The sequence below is a fragment of the Homo sapiens genome, chromosome 19 (genome assembly GCF_000001405.40).
Source record: "Homo sapiens chromosome 19, GRCh38.p14 Primary Assembly".
NCBI classification, from domain to species: domain Eukaryota; kingdom Metazoa; phylum Chordata; class Mammalia; order Primates; family Hominidae; genus Homo; species Homo sapiens.
In genome coordinates, this window is record NC_000019.10 from 6,312,635 (window position 1) to 6,339,963 (window position 27,329).

Consider the following 27,329-nt stretch of genomic DNA (forward strand, 5'->3'; position numbering starts at 1 on the left):
CAATCACTCACCTGTCAACCTTTCAGCCGACCCTTTTTTTTTTTTTTTTTTTAGATGGAGTCTTGGAGTCTTGCTCTGTCACTCAGGCTGGAGCGCAGTGGTGCCATCTCAGCTCACTGCAACCTCCACCTCCCAGGTTCGAGCGATTCTCCTGTCTCAGACTCCCGAGTAGCTGGGATTAAAGGCACGTGCCACCACGCCCAGCTAATTTTTTATATTTTTGGTAGAGACAGGGTTTCACCATGTTGGCCAGGCTGCTCTTGAACTCCTGACCTCAGGTGATCCGCCCATCTTGGCCTCCCCAAAGTGGTGGGATTACAGGTGTGAGCCACCGCACCTAGCCACTTTTCAGCTGATCTTGACCATCAGCTGGTCATCCATAGATCAATTTCTCGATCCGTTATTGGTTCATTCATTCATTCAGTGAGTGTGGCAAAGACTATCCACTAAACTTCCATATATATTCTCCTTCTCTTTTACTTTTTCTATTTATTTATTTTACAGTCAGGATCTTGCTGTCTGCTGCCAGGCTGGAGTGCAGTGGTGGGATCATGGCTCATTGCAGCCTCAATCAGCTGAGCTCAGAGGATCCTCCTGCCTCAGCCTCCCGAGTAGCTGGGACTACAGGTGCCCGCCACCCCACCTGGCTAATTTTCTTTTATTTTTTGTAGAGAAGGGGTCTCACTATGTCACCCAGGCTGGTTGCAAGCTCCCAGCCTCAAGTGATCCTCCCACCATAGCCTAAAGTGTTGAAATTACAGGTATGAACCACTGCACCCAGCCCCTTTTCCTGTAAAAATAGTATCTCCCAAGTTTGAACTGGGCACACAGCTTACCCAGTGAAAGACTACATTTCCCAGCCTTCGCTGCAGTTCACTGTGGCCTTGTGGCCTTTTGACCTGCTCTGGCCAATGAGATAAGAATGTAAATGACATCTACTACTTCCAGGTCAGTCCTTTCAAAAACCACGTAAGGAAAGCTTGCCCCCTTTCCTCTTCCTGTGGGCTGAAATGTGGCCATGGATGTCATGAGTTGACCTTGCCCTTGCAGACAAGGAAAGACGATGCAGTACCTTTTTGACAAACAGCATGAAGCAGAAATGATACTGTGTGACTTCTGAGGTTAGGTCATAAAAGGAACTGTGGCTTCCACCTTTCTCTATCTCATAGGACAAGACGTCCAGATCCTAGGCCACCACACAAGAAGACTGGCTACCCTTGAAGCCACCACGCTGGAGAAACCATGTGTAGAGACCACACTGAGATGGAGAGAGATGCCAGAGGAGGGCCAGTGGTTCAATTCTTCCCTATACAGTCATCAGACACATGAGTGAATGAAACTTCAGGTGATGGCCGGGCATGGTGGCTCACGCCTGTAATCCCAGCACTTTGGGAGGCTGAGGCAGGTAGATCACCTGAGGTCAGGCGTTCAAGGCCAGCCCAAAAAACATAGTGAAACTCTACAAAACAGTATGTAAATATATATTGTGAATATATATATATATATAATATGTGAATATATATTTCACAATAATGTAAAACAATACAAAAATTGGCCAGGTGCAGTGGATCACACCTGTAATCCTAGCACTTTGGGAGGCTGAGGCAGGCAGATCACTTGAGGTCAGGAGTTTGAAACCAGCCAGGGCAACATGGTGAAATCCCATCTCTACTAAAATACAAAAAAATAGCTGGGTGTAGTGGTGGGTGCCTGTAATCCCAGCTACTTGGGAGGCTGAGGTGGGAGAATTGCTTAAACTCAGGAGGCAGAGGTGGTAGTGAGCCGAGATCACGCCATCGCACTCCAGCCTGGGCAACAGACTAAGACTTCACCTCAAAAAAAAAAAAAAAAGGTCACAAGAACATTTGCACCCAAAATTAAATGACTCAAGACCCCGACGTGCTGACATCAGACTTTGACTCCCCACAAAGTGTCTCCCTGATATGTCTGAGCCGCGACAAGTCTCTCATATGACAAATACTTATATAATATGGGTGGAAATGTAAATGGGTACAACCTCTACGGAAAACAGTATGCAGAATTTTCAAAGAACTAAAATTAGGACTACCATTTGATCCAGCAATCCCGCTACTGAGTATCTACCCAAAGGAAACGAAATCATTATACTAAAATATACCTGCGTTCATATGTTTATTGCAGCACTGTTCACACAGGTGAAGATATGAAATCAACCCAATGATTGGATAAAGAAGATGTGGTATATATACACAATGGAATTTTATTTATTTATTTATTTATTTATTTATTTATTTTTGAGATGGAGTATTGCTCTGTCGCCCAGGCTGGAGTGCAGTGGCGCGATCTCAGCTCACTGCAAGCTCCGCCTCCTGGGTTCACACCATTCTCCTGCCTCAGCCTCCTGAGTAGCTGGGACTGCAGGTGCCTGCCACCACGCCCAGCTAATTATTTTTTTGTAGTTTTAGTAGAGACGGGGTTTCACCGTGGTCTCAATCTCCTGACCCCATGATCCGCCCGCCTCGGCCTCCCAAAGTGCTGGGATTACAGGTGTGAGCCACTGCACCCGGCCTTATTTATTTATATTTATTTATTTATTTATTTATTTATTGAGACAGGGTCTCTCTCTGTTGCCGAGGCTGGAATGCAGTGACACGATCATGGGTCACTGCAGCTTCGACATCCCAGGTTCAAGTAATCCTCCCACCTCAGCCCTCCAAGTAGCTGGGACTACAAGCATGCACCACCATGTCCAGCTAATTTTTGTTTTGTTTTGTTTTGTTTTTTGAGACAGAGTCTCACTCCGTCGCCCAGGCTGGAGTACAGTGGCGCGATCTCGGCTCACTGCAAGCTCCGCCTCCCGGGTTCATGCCATTCTCCTGACTCAGCCTCCCCAGCAGCTGGGACTACAGGTGCACGCCGCCACACCTGGCTAATTTTTTGTATTTTTAGTAGAGGCGGAGTTTCACCGTGTTAGTCAGGATGGTCTCGATCTCCTGATCCTGTGATCCACCCTCCTCGGCTTCCCAAAGTGCTGGGATTACAGGCTTGAGCCACCACGGCCAGCCTAATTTTTGTATTTTTTGTACAGATGGGATTTGGCCATGTGGCCCAGGCTGGTCTCTAACTCCAGGACTCAAGCAATCCACCCGCCTTGGCCTCCCAAACTGCTGGGATTACAGGCATGAGCCACCACACCTGGCCTGGAATACTATTTAGCCATTAAAAAAAGAATGAGCCCAGGTGTGGTGACTCACACCTGTAATCTCAGCACTTGGGGAGGTTGAGACAGGCAAATCACGAAGTCAGGAATTCGAGACCAGCCTGGCCAACATGGTGAAACCCCATCTCTACAAAAAATACAAGAATTAGCCAGGCATGGTGGTGTGTGCCTGTGAGTCCAGCTACTCGGGAGGCTGAGGCAGGAGAATCACTTGAATCTGGGAGACAGAGGTTGCAGTGAGCTGAGATTGTTGCACTGCACTCCAGCCTGGGTGAGAGAACGAGACTCCGTCTCAAAAAAAGAAAAAAGAATGAAATAGGCCAGGTGTGATGGTTCATGCCTGTGATTCCAGCAATTTGGGAGGCTGAGGCAGGAGAATTGCCTGAGGACAAGAGTTCGCAACCAGCCTGGGCAACATAGTGAGACCCCACCTCCATAAAAAATAAATTTAGAAAATTAGCCAAACATACTGGCATGTGCCTGTAGTCTTAACTACTTGAGAGGCTGAGGAGGAAAGATTGCTTGAGCACAGGAGTTGGAGGCTGCAGGAGCTGTGATTGTGCCACTTCACTCCAACCTGGGTGACAGAGTGAAACCCTGTCTCACACACACACACAAAGAATGAAATGCCTTTGCGGCAACATGGATGGAACCGGAGGACATGATCTTAAGTGAAACAACTCAGAAACAGAAAATCAAATATCGGGCCGGGCGCGGTGGCTTGCACCTGTAATCCCAGCACTTTGGGAGGTGGAGGTGAGTGGATCATGAGACCAAGAGTTCGAGACCAGCCTGGCCAACATGGTGAAACCTTGCCTCTACTAAAGATACAAAAAATTAGCCGAGCATGGTGGTGCATGCCTATAATCCCAGCTACTCCAGAGGCTGAGACAGGACAATCGCTTGAATCCAGGAGGCAGAGGTTGCAATGAGCCGAGATCGCACCACTGCACACCAGTCTGGGCGACAGAGCGAGACTCCCTCTCAAAAAAAAAAAAAAAAGAGGTCAGACTTCACCACCACACAATACATACATGTAACAAAACTGCACTTGTACTTCTTCAATTTATACAAACAAAAGAAAAACATGAAACTGTCACATGAGCTCAGAAACAAGTCTCTTTCCCTCCCCATCTTTTTTTTTTTTTTTTTTTTTCTGAGATGGAGTCTCACTCTGTCACCCAGGCTGGAGTGCAGTGGTGCAATCTCGGTTCACTGCAACCTCCGCATCCTGGGTTCAAGCGATTCTCCTGCCTCAGCCTCCCAAGTAGCTGGGACTACAGGCGCGTGCCACCATACCCGGCTAACTTTTGTATTTTTAGTAGAGACGGGGTTTCACCATGTTGGCCAGGCTGTTTTCAAACTCCTGACCTCAAGTGATCTACCCACCTTGGCCTCCCAAAGTGCTGGGATTACAGGCGTGAGCCACTGCACCCAGCCCCAGTTATTCCTTTATAGCAACACAAACTGAACTAAGACAGGTGTGGAAAGAAAAACAAGTGATTGATATGAAATGGACAATGTCAGTAAACAGATTACGACTACAGTTCTGGACTGCAAGCGCTTCTCTTCAGTGGTCCAAGGACAGATGGGACAGGGGCCATGCCAACGCCTCCATGCGCCTCTTCTCAGCCCGTGGCCCTAGTTCAGTTGCCTCCATTTGTGCTGATGCACACATACTCCCAAACAAACACAATGTTCCCTCTGCCTCCAACCAAACACCAGCCCTTGAATATCAACGCGTGCCTGAAGATACTGACCCAACCAGTCTCCCAGATTCAAAAGCATCCATTAAAACGTGTCTGGGCCTTCAATAAATAAAGTCTAAACTCTTAAACTTGGCGTATAAATTCCTTCCATAACTCATCTCTCTCCAACTTTTTTTGTTGTTGTTTTGTTTTTTGTTTGTTAGTTTTGTTTTTGTGTTTTTTTTCTTTTTGAGACAGAGTCTTGCTCTATCACCCAGGCTGGAATCCAGTGGGGCAATCTTGGCTCACTGCAACCTCCACCGCCCGGGTTCAAGCAATTCTCCTGCCTCAGCCTCCCGAGTAGCAGGGATTACAGGCACTCACCACCATGTATGTCTAATTTTTGTATTTTTAGTAGAGGCAGGGTTTCATCATATTGCCCAGGCTGGTCTCGAACTCCTGAACAAAGCAGATCCACTCACCTCAGCCTCTAAAAATCTCCATTTAAAACATGTTCAGGCTGGGCGCGGTGGCTCACACCTGTAATCCCAGCACTTTGTGAGGGTGAGGCGGGCAGATCATGAGGTCAGGAGATCGAGACCATCCTGGCTAACACGGTGAAACCCCGTCCTAAAAAAAACAAAAAAAAAGTACAAAAAATTAGCCGGGCATGGATTACAGCTCACGCCTGTAATCCCAGCACTTTGGGAGGCCGAGGTGGGCCGATCACCTGAAGTCGGGAGTTCGAGACCAGCCTGGCCAACATGGAGAAACCCCATCTCTACTAAAAATACAAAATTAGCCAGGTGCGGTGGCGCATGCCTGTAATCCCAGCTACTCAGGAGGCTGAGGTAGGAGAATCGCTTGAACCTGGGAGGCAGAGGTTGCAGTGAGCTGAGATCACACGATTGCATTCCAGCCTGGGTGACATAGTGAGACTCTGTCCCCCCAAAATAAATAAAAAATAAAAAATAGGCCAGGCACAGTGGCTCATGCCTGTAATTCCAGCACTTTGGAAAGCTCAGGCAGGCGGATCATGAGGTCACGAGATCGAGACCATCCTGGCTAACACAGTGAAACACCGTCTCTACTAAAAATACAAAAAAAAAAAAAAAATAGCTGGGTGTGGTGGCAGGCGCCTGTAGTCCCAGCTACTTGGGAGGCTGAGGCAGAAGAATGGCGTGAACCCGGGAGGCGGAGGTTGCAGTGAGCTGAGATCGTGCCACTGCACTCCAGCCTGCGCAACAGAGCAAGACTCCGTTTCAAAAAAAATAAATAAATAAATAAAAATAAAATTATTCCTAACTCATCTCTCTCCAACTCAAAAAGAAAAAGAAAAAAAAAAGAAAACAAAGATGGAAAGACTAGACGGGTGGTGGTGATTAAGAGGGTGCTCCCCTGCTGCCTGGCCCTGTGACTAATGCCTCTTGGTTTCTCTTCGCTTGTATCAGTAAAAGCAGGACACATCATCAATGGTACCTTGCAGGCTGATGCGGGCCATGCACAAGATGAGGCATTGCAGAAGTGCATTGCCCAGGATGTGGTATGAGCTCAAAAAATAGCTGGGGCTGCTGCTGTTGTTATTGTTGAAGGAGATAATAATAATAACAGGCCTGTTATGGGTATCGTTATTCCAAGCTTAGGGGCCAGCAGAGTCCAGCCAGGAGTTATCAACAGTGTCCCTAAGCGCTCAGAAGGAGGACAGAGACTGTGGGTGGAGATACTGACTAATGGGGGACCCCGACTAATGGAGTTTCCGATAACATCGGAAACTGCCTGGATGCCAGGGTCTCCCTCCCTGCCTTCCGGGGCTCAGCCCCCACGTTCCCTGCTTCTCATCCCACCCAGGCTCTGCCAGGCGGGGGAGACACCTGTCTGGGATCCCATCCAAAGCCAGCCCAGTCCTGAACTCTGGACACAAGTGAGCTGGACCTTCTTGGTCCCAGCTCCAGCAGGTGACATCACCTCCCTCCCTTCCTTCATTCATTCGTTCATTCATTCATTCATTCATTTGTCCAAGCATCCCTTGAGTACCTACTATGTGCTCAAGGACCATACCAGTGTCTGAAAACAAAGTCCCTGCCTTCTCGGGGTGTATACAGTCAGGACAGCAGGGGACCTCCTGTGCCTGGTTTTCCTGCTCCTACTTCCAGAGGCTGCTGTGAGGATTACAGAGTTAAGTGCCACGGGACCAGGGAGCTCTGTGTGTTTTGCCCCCTCCCCACCCTGTATCTAGAACACTCTCTGGCACACAGTAGGCGCCTAATACATTTTAGTAGAAAAGAATACACATAAATAATACAGAAGGGGCCAGGCGCAGTGGCTCATGTCTGTAATCCCAGCACTTTGGAAGGCTGAGGTGGGCAGATCACTTGAGGTCAGGAGTTCAAGACCAGCCTGGCCGACATGGAGAAACCCTGTCTTTACTAAAAATACAAAATTAGCCGGTGTGGTGGTGGATGCCTGTAGTGCCAGCTACTCAGGAGGCTGAAACAGGAGAATCGCTTGAACGTGGAGGCTGCAGTGAGCTGAGATCGCACCATTGCACTCCAACCCCTGTGACAGAGAGAGATTCTGTCTCAAAAAAAAAAAAAAAAAAGGAAAGAAAGAAAAGTTTGTTGAATACATCTCCAACATCTCCTCATTCTTCGTCCTCATTGCCAAAGCTCAAACTCCCTCCCACCAGCAACACCTGGCCTCTGTCTCCAGTTGAGGACAGCCACCTGCATTCATTCCAAGTGTGCCTGCTAATGTTGGAGGGACGAAGTGTGCACCGGCCACAGCACAAGACTTAATTGCATGAATTAAAATGCGTATATCTCACTCTGTCACCCAGGCTGGAGTGTAGCGGCGCGATCTCGGCTCACTGCAACCTCTGCCTCCCAGGTTCAAGCAATTCTCCTGCCTCAGCCTCCTGAGTAGCTGGGACTACAGGTGTGTGCCACCACACCTGGCTAATTTTTGTATTTTTAGTAGAGACGGGGTTTCGCTATATTGGCCATGCTGGTCTGAAACTCCTGACCTCAGGTTATCCGCCTGCCTCAGCCTCCCAAAGTGCTGGGATTACAGGTGTGAGCCGCTGTGCCATCCAAAATGCACACAATTAATTCCTAATCACCAGTAATTAAGTGGTCTCACAGCACCATGGTTAAGGGAGAGATTCTAGGACCAGGCTCTTTAAGAAGCTGCAACTTTTGTGCAATTGTAATTTGCATACTGTGTGGCCCTAGGAAAGAAATATACCCTCTCTGAGCCTTGATTTCCCCATCTGTAAAATGGGGAGCATAATTGTACCTACTTCATAGGATTTTATGAGGATTACAGTTGGTGCTAATTATTCAATGAAATGAATAAATACCTAATAAAATTAATGAATGTCACTTTGACATCTCTGGGTGCTGTATTCACTCGTAATAAGAATAGCTACAATGTATTCAGTGCTTAGGATGTGCCAAGAGCTGTGGGTTGTTTTTTTTTTTTTAACATCCCTATTTTTAAAATCAAGACATAAATCACATACTATAAAATTCACTCTTTTAAACTATGCAATTCAGTGGGTTTCAGTATATTCATAAGGCATGCAACCATCACACTAGCTAATTCCAGAAAATTTTCTTTCTTTTTTTTTTTTTGAGACCAAGTCTCACTCTGTCGCCCAGGCTGGAGTGCAGTGGCATGATCTTGGCTCACTGCAACCTCCGCCTCTTGGGTTCAAGCGATTCTCCTGCCTCAGCCACCTGAGTAGCTGGGATTACAGGAGCCCATCACCATGCTTGTCTATTTATTTATTTGTATTTTTAGTAGAGATGGGGCTTTGCCATCTTGGCAAGACTAGTCTTGAACTCCTGGCCTCAACTGATCCACCTGTCTCAGCCTCCCAAAGTGCTGGGATTACAGGTGTGAGCCACCCCATCTGGCCGAAATACATTCTTTAAAAAAAGAGAGTGAATGCATGAGTTTTTCTTCCTTGGCACATCCCACCGCCTGGCATCTTGTAGCCTTGACTTTGGCTTATTTTCTTCTTCTCCATCCCCAGAACATCAGCCCCACCAGGGCAAGGAGTTTCTTGTATTTTTTTCTTTGTTTGTTTTGTTTTGTTTTGTTTGAGACAGAGTCTCACTCTGTTGCCCAGGCTGGGGTTCAGTGCGCAATCTCAGCTCACTGCAACCTCCGCCTTCTGGGTTCAAGCGATTCTTCTGCCTCAGCCTCCCAAGTAGCTGGGACTACAGACACGTGCCACCACATCTGGTTAATTTTTAAAATTATTTTTAGTAGAGACGGGGTTTCACCATGTTGGCCAGGCTGGTCTCGAACTCCTGACCTCAGGTCATCTGCCCACCACGGCCTCCCAAAGTACTGGGATGACAGGTATGAGCCACTGCACCCGGCCGGCAGGGAGTTTTGGTGCTTGGATCACTGCTGTGTCCTCAGAGCCTGGAGCAGAGCCTGGTGCTCCTGCAATTCTTGTTGAATAAAGAAGAAATTGTTGTCCCAACAACTCAAACCCCTCCATCAGCCCCAGGATGCTTGCAGGGAAGGGTCACCAACACCTGTTTTCTTCAAAGGAGAAAGGAGGTCCAGAGGAACCTATCTTGCCTGGGAGTATCATGGGCTAGATCACTGGTTTCATGCATGTAATTATCCAACTTACGGCATCTGCCTTCCCTGGGTCAACAAGATTTATATACAAATTCATCCCTAAGTCATTTGTAATTGCAATAAAAAATGAATAAATAAAATAGAAACTGTAACACTGTCACCCAGGTGCGTGGGGCTGAATACATTCTAGTGAAATATTATGCAGCTATTTAAAAGGATGCTTTTGATCTAAAGATGTAAATGAAAGACAAAATATGTAGCAGAAATATGTAGCAGCTCCTATTTGACTTCCAGGACTCGAGCACATCTTCTTCTTCTCTTCTGCTGTCTTTCCCCAAACTCCTACCCCACTTGGCAAACTCCTATTCATCTTTCAAAACCCAACCCTGGGTGCCCTTTTCCATGAAGCCTCCCAACACCTGGGCTGACTCCTCGGGTGTTTTCTTCTCCTGTAGCCACAACCATGAGTGTCTGGGCTCTGCAACCTCAACCCCAGACTCAGCTCCTTGCAAACAGAGCAACAAGAAAGCAAAAGATTCTTCTTTGGAGAATGATATGATTTGGCTGTGTCCCCACCCAAATGTCATCTTAAATTGTAACTCCCACAATTCCCGTGTGATTGAATTATCGGGGTGGGTCTGTCCTGCTCTGTTCTCCTAATAGCGAATGAGTCTCATGAGATCTCATGGTTTTAAAAACAGGAGTTTCAGCCGGGCGTGGTGGCTAATGCCTGTAATCCCAGCACTTTGGGAGAACAAGGTGGGTGGATCACCTGAGGTCGGGAGTTCAAGAACAGCCTGACCAACATGGAGAAACCCCATCTCTACTGAAAATACAAAAAATTAGCCAGGTGTGGTGGTGCACACCTGTAAGCCCAGCTACTCAGGAGGCTGAGGGAGGAGAATAGCTTGAACCAGGGAGGCAGAGGTTTCGGTGAACGGAGATCACGCCATTGCACTCCAGCCTGGGCAACAAGAGTGAAACTCTGTCTCAAAACAAACAAACAAAAAACAAAACAGGCAGGGCGCAGTGGTTCACACCTGTAATCCCAGCACTTTGGGAGGCCAAGGCAGGCAGATCACGAAGTCAGGAGATAGAGACCATCATGGCTAACACAGTGAAACCCCATCTCTACTAAAAATACAAAAAATTAGCTGGGCGAGGTGGCGGGTGCCTGTAGTCCCAGCTACTTGGGAGGCTGAGGCAGGAGAATGGTGTGAACCCTAGGGGGCAGAGCCTGCAGTGAGCAGAGATCACGCCACTGCACTCCAGCCTGGGTGACAGCGAGACTCCGTCTCAAAAAAAAAAAAGAAAAAAAGAAAAAAAAATGGGAGTTTCCCTGCACAAGCTCTTTCTCTTTGCCTGCTGCCATCCACGTAAGATGTGACTTGCTCCTCCTTGCCTTCCACCATGATTGTGAGGCCTCCCCAGCCACGTGGAACTGTAAGTCCATTAAACTTCTTTCTTTTGTAAATTGCCTAGTCTCTTTTTCTTCTTTTGCAAACTGCCCAGACATAAAGGTAAGTCTTTATTAGCAGAGTGAAAATGAACTAATACAGAGAAGTATTTTCCTGCCCTCCCATCTTGCTTTTGGTAGGGCCTGGCACACCAGAGGCGTCCAGTAATTAATTGTTTTTGCTGTGGATATTGATAAGAAGGACAGCAGAAGAGGGAGGCATGAGTGGATCTCACATCCATACTTGTAATTTAGAGCTTATGAGACCTGCCATTGTGTGTAGCTCAGAGAGGGGCAGGTCTCCTCCTGGGTCACACAGCATTCAGGGGAGAGCTGGGACTGGAATCCCACTGCAGAAGCCAGCCTCAAGGAGACTCAGGAGAGGAGGTGAGGAGAGTGTTGGAGATGGCAGCACTGCAGACTATCTCCCCTCCACCCCCTTCCGACTCTGATCTCCTCATTTCTCTCTTTTTATTTTTATTTTTTGAGACCAAGTCTCGCTGTGTCACCCAGGCTGGAGTGCAGTGGTGTGATCTCAGCTCACTGCAATCTCCACCTCCCAGCTTCAAGCGATTCTCCTGCCTCACCCTCCTAAGTAGCTGGGATTATAGGTGTGAGCCACCACGCCTGGCTATTTTTGTATTTTTTGTAGAGATGGGGTTTCACCATGTTGGCCAGGCTGGTCTGGAACTGCTGACCTCAAGTGATCTCCCTGCCTTGGCCTCCCACAGTGCTGGGATTACAGGCATGAGCCACCGCACTTGGCCTCTTTTTAATTTTTTTTTAGACACAGGGTCTCACTCTGTTGCCCAGGCTGGAGTGCAGTGAAGTGATCATAACTCACTGCCTCCAGGACCTGGGGGACCTTGAAACTTCCACCTGCACCATTTGAAACTCTCTGCCAGGCGAGGTGGCTCATGCCTGTAATCCCAGCACTTTGGGAGGCCGAGGCGGGCAGATCACCTGAGGTCGGGAGTTCAAGACCAACCTGACCAACATGGAGAAACCCCATCTCTACTAAAAAAAAAAAAATACAAAATTAACCGGGCGTGGTGGCACGTGCCTGTAATTCCAGCTACTTGGGAGGCTGAGGCAGGAGAATTTCTTGAACCCGGGAGGCAGAGATTGCACTGTTGCACTTTAGTCTGGGCAACAAGAGCGAAACTCCATCTCAAAACAAAATAAAATAAAGAAAGAAAGAGAAAGAGAGAGAAGAGAGAAGAAAGAAAGAGAAAGAAGGAGAGAAGGAAAGGAAGGAAGGAAGGAAGGAAAGAGAGAGAGAGAAAGGAAGGAAGGAAGGAAGGAAGGAAGGAAGGAAGGAAGGAAGGAAGGAAGGAGGAAGGAAGGAAACTCTCCTAAGTTGTCATCAACCCAGAAGAAGGCTGCACCTGGAGGCCACCAGGCCAATGCAAGCAGGAGCAAACTGACGGAGCCCACACCTGGACCTCTTCCCCTTCCCTACTCGAGCCGCCCCTCCCACACTGCTGACTTCTGTTCCTGTTGGATGACCCTTCCTGGCTCTCTCTGCCCATCTGCCAAATGCCACCGGTTGCCCCAGCTGACCCCACATCATGACTCTCCTCTGTTCAAAAGCCACCCCATGGCTCCCCAGGGCTCTCAGGACAGAGCACACAGTCCTCAGCCTGACATTCCCAATTTGGCCCCTGAAAACCTTTCCAGTCCTTTCTCTCACCCTTCAGTCTCTCCCCCATCGACTGGGGAGACTCCCCCTGGGCTCCGCTTCAAGCTGCTCACTATTTCCTGCCAGGCTGTGCTGTTCCACCTCAAGACCTTGGCCGGGTGCAGTGGCTCACGCCTGTTATCCCAGCACTTTGGGAGGCTGAGGTGGGTGGATCACTTGAGGTCAGGAGTTCAAGACCAGGCTGACCAACAAAGTGAAACCCTGTCTCTATTAAAAATACAAAAAATTAGCCAGCCATGGTGGCAGGTGCTATAATCCCAGCTACTTGGGAGGCTGAGGCAGGAGAATCACTTGAACCTGGGAGGCAGAGGTTGCAGTGAGCCAAGATCGTGCCACTGCACTACAGCCTGGGTGACAAAGCCAGACTCCGCCTCAAAACAAGAACAACAACAAAGACCTTTACATATGCTATTCCCTTTGCCTCCAAACCCTTGAGCTGGGCGTGGTGGCTCATGCCTGTAATCCCAGCTACTCTGGGGGCTGAGACGGGAGGACTGCTGGAGCCCAGGAGTTCAAGGCTGCAGTGAGCTATGATCACACCGCTGTACTCCAGGCAGGGCAACAGAGCAAGACCCTGTCACTAAAACAAACAAACAAAATTCAAAGCCTTAGAGGACATCTACTCATTCTTTTTAGATTTGGTTTCCATGGTATTGTTTGTTTTTCATTGTTGTTTTTGTTTTTGTTTTATTTTGAGGCAGGGTCTGGTTTTGTCCCTCAGGCTGGAGTGAAGTGGTGTGATCATAGCTCACTGCAGCCTTGAACTCCTGGGCTCAAGCGATTCTTCTGCCTCAGCCTCCGGAGTAGCTGGGACCACAAGTGTGCACCACCATGCTCAGCTATTTTTTTTTTTTTTTTTTTTTTAAAGACGGAGTCTCGCTCTGTAGCCCAGGCTGGAGTGCAGTGGCACCATCTCGGCTCACTGCAAGCTCCGCCTCCTGGGTTCACCCGCCACTCTCCTGCCTCAGCCTCCCGAGTAGCTGGGACCACAGGCGCCCACCACAATGCCCGGCTAATTTTTATATTTTTAGTAGAGACGGGGTTTCACCGTGTTAGCCAGGATGGTCTCGATCTCCTGACCTTGTGATCCGCCGGCCTCGGCCTCCCAAGGTGTTGGGATTACAGGCGTGAGCCACTGCGCCCGGCCTATTTTTTTTTTAATCTTTTGTAGTGATGGGGTCTTGCTATATTGCCCAGGCTGGTCTGAAACTCCTGAGCTCAAGTGATCCTCCTGCCTCGGCCTCCTAAAGTGCTGGGGTTACAGGTGTAAGCCACCACACTTGCCCCCCAGAGCATTGTTGATGTTCTTTCCCCATTCAGCAAGCAGAGACCTTATGCCCCATTCCTCTGACACCCCGTTTCTGGCACCCCCTTCCTCTCTCCGCCTCAAGCTAACCATGGGGCTGAAGAAATCTGTTTCTAATTCTGGGTCTCTTACAACCTGGGGACACCGAGCCTCCTCCCTGGAATCCCAGGATCATCCAGCAGCGGTGGGTTTATAGCATTTTGATTGAATAAATGAATGAGTCCATCAGTGAACACAGGATACGTTTCCAACATTCTAACCAAGCATGCGAACCGTTACGTCTTCATCTCTCCCCACATTGTAGCTACAGGAACATACTTTCTCCTTTCTCAATCTGACCAGCTCTTCTTTGACTTCCAGAACTGAGCACATCTTTCCCTGCTCTCCTGCTATCCTTCCCCACTTGGCAAACTCCTATTCATCTTTCAAAACCCAACTCCTACATGTCCTTTTCTATGAAGTCTCCAAACACCTGGGGTGAGTTCTTGGGTGTTTCCTGTTTCTGTAACCCTGACCATGAGCTGCTGGGCTCTGCATGCTCCCAAACAGAGCAGCAAGAAAGCAGGCTGGGTGCAGTGGCTCATGCCTATAATGCCAGCACTTTTAGAGATTGAGGCAGGCAGATCGCCTGAGGTCAGGAGTTTGAGAGCAACCTGGATGACCTGGTGAAACCCTGTCTCTGCAAAAAATACAAAAATTAGCTGGGGATGGTGGTGCACACCTATAATCCCAGCACTTTGGGAGGCTGAGGCAGGCGGATCACAAAGTCAGGAGATCGAGACCATCCTGGCTAACACGGTGAAACCCCGTCTCTACTAAAAATACAAAAAATTAGCCAGGGGTGGTGACGGGCGTCTGTAGTCCCAGCTACTCGGGAGGCTGAGGCAGGAGAATGGTGTGAACCCGGGAGGCGGAGCTTGCAGTGAGCCGAGATCAGGCCACTGCACTCCAGCCTGGGCGGCAGAGCGAGACTCCGTCTCAAAATAAATAAATAAATAAATAATAATAAAATAAAAATAAAATAAAATAAAATAAAATAAATAAACACTCTTTGGCCTGTGGGCAAAGTTCAGCCCACTGCCTTGTATCATGTGTCCCACAAGCTAAGAATCATGTTTACATTTTCAAATGATTGAAAAATTAAAAGATTATTTTGTGACATGTGAAAATTATATGAAATGCACATTTCAGTGTCAATAAAAAAAAAATTGGCCAGGCACGGTGGCTTGTGCCTGTAATCCCAGCACTTTGGGAGGCCGAGGTGGGTGGATCACGAGGTCAGGGGTTCGAGACCAGCCTGGCCAACATGGTGAAACCCCATCTCTACTAAAAATAACAAAAAATAGCTGGGCATGGTGGTGCTCATCTATAATCCCAGCTACTCGGGAGGTTGAGACAGGAGAATTGCTTGAACCTGGGAGGCAGAGGTTGTGGTGAGCCAAGATTGCACCACTGCACTCCAGCCTGGGCGACAGAGTGAGACTCCATCTCAAAAAAAAAAAAAAATTATTGGCATACAGCCACACCCATTTATTTATCTATTATCTATGGCTGGTTTTCAGCTACAGTGGCATAGTTGCGTAGTTGAGACAGAGTCTGGATGGCCCAGAAAGCCAAAAATATTGGCCAGGCGTGGTGGCTCATGGCTGTAATCCCAGTACTTTGGGAGGCCAAGGAGGGTGGATCACCTGAGGTCAGGAGTTCAAGACCAGCCTGAGCAACAAGGTGAAACCCCATCTCTACTAAAAATACAAAAATTAGCCGGGAGTGGTGGCAGGTGCCTGTAGTCCCAGCTACTTGGGAGGCTGAGACAGGAAAATTGCTTGAACCAGGGAGGTGGAGGTTGCAGTGAGCCAAGATCGAGATTGTACCAGTGCACTCCAGCCTGGGCAACAGACTGAGACTCCATCTCAAAAAAAAAAAAAAAAAAAAAAAAAGTCAAAAATATTTACTAGCTAGCCCTGTACAGAAAAGGTTGGCCCTGGGTGCAGTGGCTTATGTCTGTAATCCTATCACTTTGGGAAGTGAAGGCACAAGGATTACTTGAGCCCAGCCTGGCAGCATAGCAAGACCCCATCTCTATACAAAACAATGTTTTTTTAGACAGAGTCTCACTCTTTCGCACAGGCTGGAGTGCAGTGGCACCATCTCCACTCACTGCAACCTCCACCTCCCAGGTTCAAGCAATTCTCCTGCCTCAGTCTTCCAAGTAGCTGGAACTACGGATGCATGCCACCATGCCTGGCTAATTTTTTTTTTTTTGTAATTTTGATAGAGATGGGGTTTCATCGTGTTTTCCAGGCTGGTCTTGAACTCCTGAGCGCAAGTGATTGGCCCACCTCGGCCTTCCAAAGTGCTGGGATTACATGTGTGAGCCACTGTGCCCAGCACCCATCTGTATAAAAATTTAAAAATTAGCTGTGTTTGGTGGCATGCTCTTGTGGTTCCAGCTACTTTGAAGGCTGGGGCAGGAGGATCACTTAAGTCCAGGAGGTCAAGGCTGCAGTGAGCTATGATGGCACCACTCCATCCCAGGCTGGGCAATAGAGTGAGACTGTGTCTCTAAAACAGGTAAAATAAAAATAAAATAAAATAAACACGAAAAGAAAAAATTTGCCACCCACTCCACCCTTTTGAACTGTATGATTTATTAGCTATGGGTTTGGGATACTCAGAAGCGTTTTGGAGGAGAAGGTCTTGGGGAAGCCCTTTCTCACATAACTCTGATTCTATTCCTCATCCCCTGACCTGTTTGGAGAGAGGCTTTTTGATATAGAATAGAATAGAATAGAATAGAATAGAATAGAATAGAATAGAATAGAATAGATCCAGGTGTGTTTGTACCAGGGAAGGGTAAGTCTCGTTTTGTGCAACTTTTGTTTCTGTATGATACACATCTGGAAAGGCAGGTACAGGATGATGATGATGTAAAATTTCTTTCATAATAGGTGTTCTGATCAGAGGAGTTTGACAACTGCAGCCTTACCCGGTAGCTACAGGTGGCTCAATTTATTTTATCTGGGGACAGGCTACAGCAGAATCCAGTGGAGGACAATTTTGCCTGAGATAAGAACACACAGCTATACTCAGGCTCAGGACACACTTGAATCAGCCCTTTCTAGGTGCTTTTTATTTTTTAGAGACAGGATATTACTCTGTTGCCCAGGCCGGAATACGGTGGTGCAGTAACAGGTTACTGCAGCTTCAAACTCCTGAACTCAAGCAATCCTCCTGCCTTAGCCTACCAGCTAGTTTTTATTTTTATTTTATTTTTAATTTTTTAATTTTTAATTTTTTTTTTTTTGAGATGGAGTCTTGCTCTGTCACCCAGGTTGGAGTGCAGTGGCGTGATCTCAGCTCACTGCAAGTTCCACCTACCGGGTTCACATAATTCTCCTGCCTCAGCCTCCCGAGTAGCTGGGACCACAGGCGCCCGCCACCACGCCCAGCTAATTTTTTTGTATTTTTAGCAGAGACGGGGTTTCACCGTGTTAGCCAGGATGGTCTCGATTTCTTGACCTCGTGATCTGCCCGCCTCGGCCTCCCAAAGTGCTGGGATTACAGGCGTGAGCCACCACGCCCGGCTAATTTTTAATCTTTTGAGATGGAGTCTTGCTCTGTCACCCAGGCTGGAGTGCAATGGCGTGATCTCGGCTCACTGCAACCTCCACCTCCCAGATTCAAGTGATTGTCGTGCCTCAGCCTCCCCAGTAGCAGGGATTATAGGCATGCGCCACCATGCCCAGCTAATTTTTGTATTTTTAGTAGAGATGGGGTTTCACCATGTTGTCCAGGCTGGTCTCAAATTCCTGACCTCAAATGATCTACCTGCCTCGGCCTCCCAAAGTGCTGGGATTACAGGCATAAGCCAGTGGTGCCCAGCCCACAGCTAGTTTTTAAATTTTGTGTAGGGACTGGGTCTTGCTATGTTGCTTAGGCTGGTCTTGAACTTCTGGCCTCAAGTGATCCTCCTGTCTCGACCTTCCAAAGTACTAGGATTAAAGGTGAGAGCCACCATACCCAGCCTCTCAGTGCCTTCTGCAAGGGCTCTCATCTGGGTGCAGGATGAAAACAGAACACTGGACCACAGTGGCTGCTGGGGATTCCAGAGAGAAGAGCTCTAGAGCCCTTACCCATCATCTCAGCCTCGTAGGACCAATCATTCAGCTCCCTCCCATGTTAGAGGTGGGACTACTGAGGACCGGGAACCATATCTCTGGCTAAGGAAGAGCAAGAATCAGTGAGACCGTGAGGATCCTGGAGTCTCATAATCCCACTTCCCAGGTATGGGAAGCCCCGGGGTGAAAGGCAACAGGGTCAGAGCAACCTGAGCCTCGGACTCTCCTCCCAGAAAAGTCTCCTGGACTCACCAAGTTTAAATCCTGGCTCTAATAACCAGGGTGACCCTGGGCACAGCCTTCAAACTCCTTGAACACCTGTTTTATCACCTGGAAAATGGGATGAAGTCTGTATCATATAGATTGCATCTAACTCCCCATGTCACTGTGCAGATTAAAGGAGGTGTTTCACGTAAAATGTTTAGGGTCATGCCTGGTACACAGCAAGCACTTTTTTTTTTTTTTTGAGATGAGGTCTCGCTCTGTCACCAGGCTGGAGTGCAGTGACACAATCTTGGCTCACTGCAACCTCTGCCTCCCGGGTTCAAGTGATTCTCCTGCCTTAGCCTCCTGAGTAGCTGGGACTACAGGCGCCCGGCACCATGCCTGGCTAATTTTTTGTATTTTTAGCACAGACGGCATTTCACCACGTTGGCCAGGATGGTCTTGACCTCTTGACCTCATGATCCACCCCCCTCGGCCTCCCAAAGTGCTGGGATTACAGGCGTGAGCCATAGCACCCAGCCAGCAAGCACTCTTCTGCTCACTGAGCAAGGCCTATGTGCAGGGCATAGAACTAAGCACTACGAGGCCGGGCGCCGTGGCTCACGCCTGTAATCCCAGCACTTTGGGAGGCTGAGGTGGGCGGATCACCTGAGGTCGGGAGTTCAAGACCAGCCTGGCCAACATGGTGAAACCCTGTCTCTACTAAAAATACAAAAATTAGCCAGGCGTGGTGGTGGGAACCTGTTATCCCAACTACTCGGGAAGCTGAGGCAGCAGAATGGCTTGAACGCGGGAGGCAGAGGTTGCAGTGAGCCGAGATCGCGCCATTACATTCCAGCCTAGGTGACAAAGCGAGACTCCGTTTCAAAACAAACAAACAAACAAACAAAAGAACTAAGCACTATGCCTGGATCCCATCATTCCCAGGGCTCCAGGCAAACACCTCTGTGTTCCCAGCACCCAGTATGGGCATGGCATAGCTGCACTGATCTTTGGCTTTAAGCTTTGGCTAAATGCCGTGATCATTTGTGCATTCCTATTTTTTTTTTTTTTTTTGAGACGAAGTCTCGCTCTTGTCCCTCAGGCTGGAGTGCAATGGTGCGATCTCGGCTCATTGAAACCTCCGCCTCCTGGGTTCAAGCCATTCTCTTGCCTCAGCCTCCCAAGCAGCTGGGATTACAGGTGCCTGCCACCAAACCTGGCTAATTTTTGTATTTTTAGTAGAGATGGGGTTTCACCATGTTGGCCAGGCTGGTCTCGAACTCCTGACCTCAGGTGATCCACTCACCTTGGCCTCGCAAAGTGCTGTGATTACAGGCGTGAGCCTCCGCGCCCGGCCTTTTTTTTTTTTTTTTTTTTTTGAGACAGGGTCTCCCTCTGTCACCCAGGCTGGAGTGCAGTGGTATGACCTCAGCTCACTGCATCCTCCACTTCTTGGGTTCAAGAAATCCTCCCCCCTCAGCCTCCCAAGTAGCTGGAACTACAAGCACACACCACCACACCCAGCTAATTTTTAAAAACTTTTTGTAGAGACAGGGTCTTGCTATGTTGCCCAGGCTGGTCTGGAACTCCTGGGCTCAAGCGATCTTCCTGCCTCTGCGTTCCAAATTGCTGGGGTTACAGGCATGAGCCATGGTGCTAGGTACATCCATGATTTTTTAGCACTTCCCATGTGGTGTTTTAACAGGGAAAGAGAAGACCACCTCAGAATGTCCAGAACTGAGGAGTTTCTCAGGAGGTGGGACTTTTTTTCTTCTTTTTTTGAGACAGTCTCGCTTTTTCACCCAGGCTGGAGTGCAGTGGCACAATCTCAGCTCACTGCAACCTCCGCCTCCTGGGTTCAAGCGATTCTCATGCCGTAGCCTCCTGAGTAGCTTGGACTACAGATGCCTGACACCGTACCCAGCTAATTTTTTATTTTAGTAGAGATGGGCTTTCACCACGTTGCCCAGGGCGATCTCCAACTCCTGAGCTCAGGCAATCCACCCACCTTGGCCTTCCAAAGTGCTAGGATTACAGACGTGAGCCACCGCGCCCAGCCAAGAGGTGAAACTTTTTAAATACTGAAACCAGGATAGTCCCAGGCACACTGGGACAAGTTGGTCAGTGGGTACAGCTGCAAACAAGACAGACACAATCACCTCTTCCAGGAAGCCTTTCCTGATTGGCCCACCCCCTCTAGCTCAGGGGCACCCTCTGCCTCCCCCTACCACAGCTGCCTCTGTGCCCTCCAAGAAGGCACCATCGCTCCCGGTTGCAAATGCCTGCAGTCACATCAGAGTTAGCTTAGGGAAGGCAGAGACCGGTTCTTTTCCTGGCCACCAATGTGTCTCCAAAACCTACCACAGAGCTTGGCATCAAGTAAAGACAAGTAAATGAATGAAAGCTGGCACTCTTTGGCTAACAGATGAGAAAACTAGGGCTGAGACAGGTGAACCACTCCAGCAAGATTCCCCAGTAAGGCTGTATGGGGAGGAACCGGGATTCGAACCGGCATCTGGCGAGACTCCTTCACACACCCACGCACTCACCGTGTTGTAGAACTCGGCCACCAGCTCCGAGTACTGGAAGTTGCTCTCACACCAGTCCACCTCGGAGCTCTGATAGGCGAAGATGCTAGGCATCTTGTCTCAGTGGCCACCACCAGCCGGCTGCGCCCGGCAGAGAGAAGGCGAGCTTGGGAAGGCTGGGCCCTGATGAGGCGGGGAGAGGACAGCCCGGTGCCCCGCGGCAGGCAGACTGGGAGGAAAAACCTGCTGGGCCGCTCCCCAGTTGCACCAGGGCAGCCTGGCTGTGCAGTGACAGCAGCCCTGAGCATAAGCCGTGGGACTGGCACTGTCCAGGCAGGGCAGGGGGCAGAAGTAGGCAGGGAAGAGGCCTCCCATCCAGATTACCCAGGAATAGGAATCGGGGTGGGGGCAGTGGAGGGAACTGTTTTTATCTTTTATGTATGTATGTATTTATTTATTAGAGTCAGGGCCTTGCTCTGTTGCTCAGGCTGGGGTACAGTGGCATCATCATAGCTCACCGCAGCCTCAAACTCCCAGGCTCAAGCAATACTCCTGCCTCAGCCTCTGAAGTAGCCAGGACCACAGGCACATGCTGCCACCATGCCTAGCTAATTGTTTTTTTTTTTGGAGACAGAGTCGCTCTGTTGCCCAGGCTGGAGTGCAGTGGCATGATCTCAGCTCACTGCAAGCTCTGCCTCCCGTGTTCACGCCATTCTCCCGCCTCAGCCTCCCGAGTAGCTGGGACTACAGGCGCCCACCGCCACGACCGGCTAATTTTTTGTATTTTTAATAGAGATGGAGTTTCACTGTGTTAGCCAGGATGGTCTCGATCTCCTGACCTCGTGATCCACCTGCCTTGGCCTCCCAAAGTGCTGGGATTATAGGTGTGCGTGAGCCACCGTGCCCGGCCTTTTTTTTTAAAATTGAGATGCAGTCTGGCTCTGTCACCCAGGCTGGAGTGTAGTGGCGCAATGTCAGCTCACTGCAACCTCCACCTCCTGGGTTCAAGCGATTCTCCTACCTCAGCCTCCCAAGTAGCTGGGATGACTGGCACCTGCCACCATGCCCAGCTAATTTTTTTTGTATTTTAGTAGAGATAGGATTTCACCATGTTGGTCAAGCTGGTCTCGAACTCCTGACCTCAGGTGATCTGCCCACCTTGGCCTCCCAAGGTGCCGGGATTATACGCATGAGCCACCTCACCTGGCCTGAGTTCCTCTACTTTAAGCTGTGTGACCTTGGGCAAGTGAATTTACCTCTCTGATCCTCTGTTTGCTCACCTGTCATATGGAGACGATGGTGACAGAGCCAACTGTAACAAAGGAAGACAGAGATAAAGCATGTACAAAGGCTTAGCCCACTGCCTATGCTAGAGTAGGCACTTGATGGATGGTAATGGGTTTTCTTTTTTTTTTTGAGATGGAGTCTTGCTCTGTCCCAAAGTGCTGGGATTACAGGGTTTTCTTACTGAAGCTGACCTTGAACTTTAAGTCAACTTTGTGGGAATAATAATAATTATTATTATTATAATAAAAGAGCCTGGCCTTAGCAAGCGGTTAGCAAGTGTGCATAACAATAATAATATAATTATTTATTATATAATAGCAATATTATATTAAAATATAAAATTATTATATTAAAAATACTATTGTTATATAATATTTTAAATATTTTAGTATATTATTTTAATGTGATTAATATAATTTAATATAATAATTAATATTATATATTATATAATTTTTCTTTTTTTAAGTGCTTGATTTTCAGTATTATCTCATTTAACGTTCTTTTTTTTTTTTTTTTTTGAGATGGAGCCTCACTCTGTCTCCCAGGCTGGAGTGCAGTGGCATGATCTTGGCTCACTGCAACCTCCACCTCCCTAGTTCAAGCAATTCTCCTGCCTCAGCCTCCTGAGTAACTGGGACTACAGGCACCTGCCACCATGCCCAGCTAATTTTTGTATTTTTAGTAGAGACGGGGTTTCACCATATTGACCAGGCTGGCCTCAAACTCCTGACCTTGTGATCTGCCCGTCTCGACTTCCCAAAGTGCTGGGATTACAGGCGTGAGCCACTGTGCCCGGCCTTCATTTAATGTTCTTAACAATCCTACCCCGGGTGCTGTGGCTCACGCCTGTAATCCTAGTGCTTTGGGAGACCAAGGCGGGAGGATCACAAGGTCAGGAGATTGAGACCATCCTGGCTAACACAGTGAAACCCCATTTCTACTAAAAATACAAAAAAGGTAGCTGGGCGTGATGGTGGGTGCCCATAGTCCCAGCTACTCAGGAGGCTGAGGCAGGAGAATGGCATGAACCCAGGAGACGGAGCTTGCAGCGAGCCAAAATTGCACCACTGCACTCCAGCCTGGGTGACAGAGAAAGACTCTGTCTAAAAAAAAAAGAAAAAATCCTAAGCGCCAGGAACTATTGTTATCCCTTTTCTTTTTCTTTTTTTTCTTTTTCTTTTCTTTTTTTTTTTGAAATAGAGTTTCACTCTTGTCACCCAGGCTGGAGTGCAATGGCATGATCTCAGCTCACTGCAACCTCTGCCTCCCAGGTTCCAGCGATTCCCCTGCCTCAGCCTCCCAAGTAGCTGGATTTACAGGCACCCGCCAGCATGCCCGGCTAATTTTTGTATTTTTAGTAGAGACGGGGTTTCACCATGTTGGCCAGGCTAGTCTCGAACTCGTGACTTCTGGTGATCCACCTGTCTCGGCTTCCCAAAGTGCTGGGATTACAGGCTTGAGCCACTGTGCCTGGCCTCTTTTTCTCTTTTGAGACAGGGTCTTGCTCTGTTGCCCAAGCTGGAGTGCAGTGGCGCAATCATAGTTCAATGCAGCCTTGCTTGATCTCCTGAGCTCATGCGATCCTATCTCCTGCTAGTAATCACTAGCAAGGAAACTAAAGCCCAGAGAAGTTAAGGAACTTACCATAGGTCACACAGTTAGGAAGTGATAGAGACAGGCAAGGAACACCACCTCTATGATGCCTCAGTTTCCTCACCTGTAAGGTGGTGAAAATGATAATGGTACTGCCCTCTCAAGCCTGTTGTGAAGAGTTAGTGAGCTGACACGATGTTTCCATAAAAAGATAAATTGTGGGCTGGGCACGGTGGCTCATGCCTGTAATCCCAGCACTTTAGGAAGCCAAGGCAGGCGGATCACGAGGTCAGGAGATCAAGACCATCCTGGTTAACATGGTGAAACCCCGTCTCTACTAAAAATATAAAAACCTAGCCAGGCATGGTGGCGGGCGCCTGTAGTCCCAGCTACTTGGGAGGCTGAGGCAGGAAAATCGCTTGAACCTGGGAGGTGGAGGTAGTAGTGAGCCGAGATCACGCCACTGCACTTCAGCCCGGGCGACAGATCGAGACCCCGACTCAAAAAAAAAAAAAAAAAAGAAAAAGAAAGATAAATTGTGGTGCTATGTTGCCCTGCATTCCAAATCACTGAACTGGCCGGGCATGGTGGCTCACCCCTGTAATCCCAGCACTCTGGGAGGCTGAGGCAGGTGGAGCACTTGAGGTCAGGAGTTCAAGACTAGCCTGGCCAAAATGGTGAAACCCCGTCTCTACTAAAAATACAAAAATTAGCCTGGTGTGGTGGCACGCGCCTGTAATCTCAGCTACTCAGGAGACTGAGGCAGGAGAATAGCTTGAACCCAGAAAACGGAGGTTGCAGTGAGCCGAGATTGCACCACTGCACTCCAGCCTGGGCGACAGGGTGAGACTCCCTCTCAAAAAAAAAAAAAAAATCACTGTGGTGTCTGAAAGTAATCAACTTTTTCAATTTCCAATATTTGGAGAAGAGAGGCTCAGTCAGTGCTAATATGTTCTATGTCTCTTAACACTTAATGACTTTGACAAAAAAGAAAAGAAAAGCCCTTCATTAGGCAACAATATTCTGTTAGAATTTAGTAACATGATTTGTTTACATTGTATTTATTTTTTGATAAGCTTGTATTCATGGTAAGCCAAATCTACTTTCCATTCACGGTAGGGTTACAAAGTTTCCTTTTTTTTTCTTTTTTTTTTTGAGATGGCGTTTGCTCTGTCCCCCAGGCTGGAGTGCAATGGCATGATCTCGGCTCACTGCAACCTCCACCTCCCAGGTTCAAACGATTCTCTTGCCTGAGCCTTCTGAGTAGCTGGGATTACAGGCGTGGACCACCCTGCCTGGCCAAAGTTTTCTTTTTCTTTTTCTTTTCTTTTCTTTCTTTCTTTCTTTTTTTTTTTTTTTTTTTTTTTTTTTTTTTTGAGATGGAGTCTTGCTCTGTCGCCCAGGCTGGAGTGCAGTGGCTCGATCTTGGCTCACTGCAAGCTCCGCCTCCTGGGTTCATGCCATTCTCCTGCCTCAGCCTCCCGAGTAGCTGGGACTGCAGGCACCCACCACCAACGCCTGGCTAATTTTTTTGTATTTTTAGTAGGGACAGGGTTTCACCATGTTAGCCAGGATGGTCTCGATCTCCCGACCTCGTGATCCACCCACCTCGGCCTCCCAAAGTGCTGGGACTACAGGCGTGAGCCACCGCGCCCAGCCCCAGAATTTTCTTTTTAAAATAATATTTTGGCCCAGTGCAGTGGCTTACACCTCTAATTCCACCGCTGCACTCTAACCTGGGCAAAAAGAGGGAAACCCTGTCTCAAAAAAAAATAGTTAATTAAATAAAATAAAAATAAAATAATAAAATAAATATGTATTTTTTAAGAGATGGAGTCTTGCTCCGTTTCCTAGGCTGGAGGGCAGTGGTAAAATCCTAGCTCACAGCAATGTCAATTTCCTGGGCTCAAGCAATCTTCTCACCTTCGCCTCCCAAGTTGCTGGGAGTACAGGTATGAGCTACTGTGCCCTGGCCAAAATAAATGTAAGTGTTACAATTGTGGTTGTGTTTGCACAGATCTATACATGTGATATTATTGCATAGATTTGCTCCCATTTTTCTGAGAAAATGAAAAGAAAATTGTCTAACACATGAATGCATGGGAAAAGCTGTTGAAATCTGAATATGGTCTATAGGTCATATTTATATCACCTTTCTGGTTGTGAAAATGTATAGTTATAAAAGAGGTACCACTGGGAGAAACTGGATGAAGATTACCTGGGATTCTTCTATATTATTATTGCAGGTTCCTGCAAGTTTATAATTATTCCATTTTTTTTAATGTGTTTGATAGAGGGTCTCACTCTGCTGCCAGGCTTGAGTGCAGTGGTGCAATCACAGGCCACTGCAGCCTCAACCTCCTGGGCTCAAGTGATCCTCACACCTTAGCCTCCCAAGTAGCTGGGACTACAGGCCAGGCAAATTTTTTCTATTTTTTGTAGAGACAGGTTCTCACTATGTCTCCCAGACTGCTCTCTAATTCCCGAGCTCAAGCGATCCTTCCACCTCAGCCTCCCAAAGTGCTAGAATTACATGTGTGAGCCACCGCACCTGGCCTTAAAATCTTTTTTTTTTTTTAAGACCGAGTCTCTTCCTGTCATCCAGGCTAGAGTGCAATGGTGCAATCTCGGCTCACTGCAACCTCCGCCTCCTGGGTTCAAATGATTCTCCTGCTTCAGCCTCCCGATAGCTGGGATTACAGGCGCCCACCACCACGTCGGGCTAATTTTTACATTTTTAGTAGAGATGGGGTTTCAGCATGTTAGCCAGGCTGGTTTGGAACTCCTGACCTCAGGTGATCCGCCTGCCTCAGCCTCCCAAAGTGCTGAGATTACAGGCATGAGCCACCGCACCCAGCCTAAAAATCTCTTTTTATAAAGGGATTGATTTAGATTTTTAATTAATACATGAATGGATAAACACAATGTGTGTGGTTCATCCATACCGTGGAATATTATTCAGCCCTGAAAAAGGAAGGAAATTCTGATACAGGCAACAACGTGGATGGACTTTGAGGACATCAAGCTGGGTGAAATAAGCCAGACATAAAAGGACAAATCCTGTGTGATCCCACTCCTAGGAGGTCCCCAAAGTCCTCAGAGTCACAGAGACAGGAAGTAGAACGGGGGGTATGAGGGGCTGGGGAGGGGGATAGGGAGTGAGTGTTTCTTGGGGACAGAGTTTCAGTTTGGAAAGATGAGAAAGTTCTGGAGGGGATGGTGGTGATGGCTGCATAGACATGCGAATGTGCTTAATGCCGCTGAACTATGCATTTGATGATTAAAATGATCAGTTTCGTGTTATGTATCTTTTACCACAATTTTACAAAGTAATGATTTAGGGTTTTTGTTTTTGTTTTTTGTTTTTTGAGATGGAGTCTCTCTCTGTTGCCCAGGCTGGAGTGCAGTGGTGCGATCTCGGCTCACTGCAAGCTCCGCCTCCCGGGTTCACGCCATTCTCCTGCCTCAGCCTCCCGATGGGACTACAGGCGCCCGCCACCACACCCGGCTAAGTTTTTTTTGTATTTTTAGTAGAGACGGGGTTTCACCGTGTTAGCCAGGATGGTCTTGATCTCCTGACCTCATGATCCGCCCGCCTCAGCCTCCTAAAGTGCTGGGATTACAGGCGTGAGCCACCACGCCTGGC

At 48.1% G+C, this 27,329-nt stretch overlaps 1 protein-coding gene across 2 annotated transcripts in view; it reads right to left on the minus strand.

The window, feature by feature from the left end:
- The window catches only part of ACER1 (alkaline ceramidase 1), a 54,227-nt gene that overhangs the window by 6,493 nt on the left and 20,405 nt on the right, over nt 1–27,329 (minus strand). The window contains exon 1 of one of the 2 annotated variants that reach the window (NM_133492.3): nt 20,825–20,978. The exons of the other annotated variant lie outside the window; for it this stretch is intronic. Within the exon in view, the coding sequence (NP_597999.1) occupies nt 20,825–20,917 (93 nt within the window). The 5' untranslated portion in view covers nt 20,918–20,978. Of the gene's footprint in view, nt 1–20,824; nt 20,979–27,329 lie in introns of those variants that run through there. 2 annotated transcript variants of the gene reach the window in all.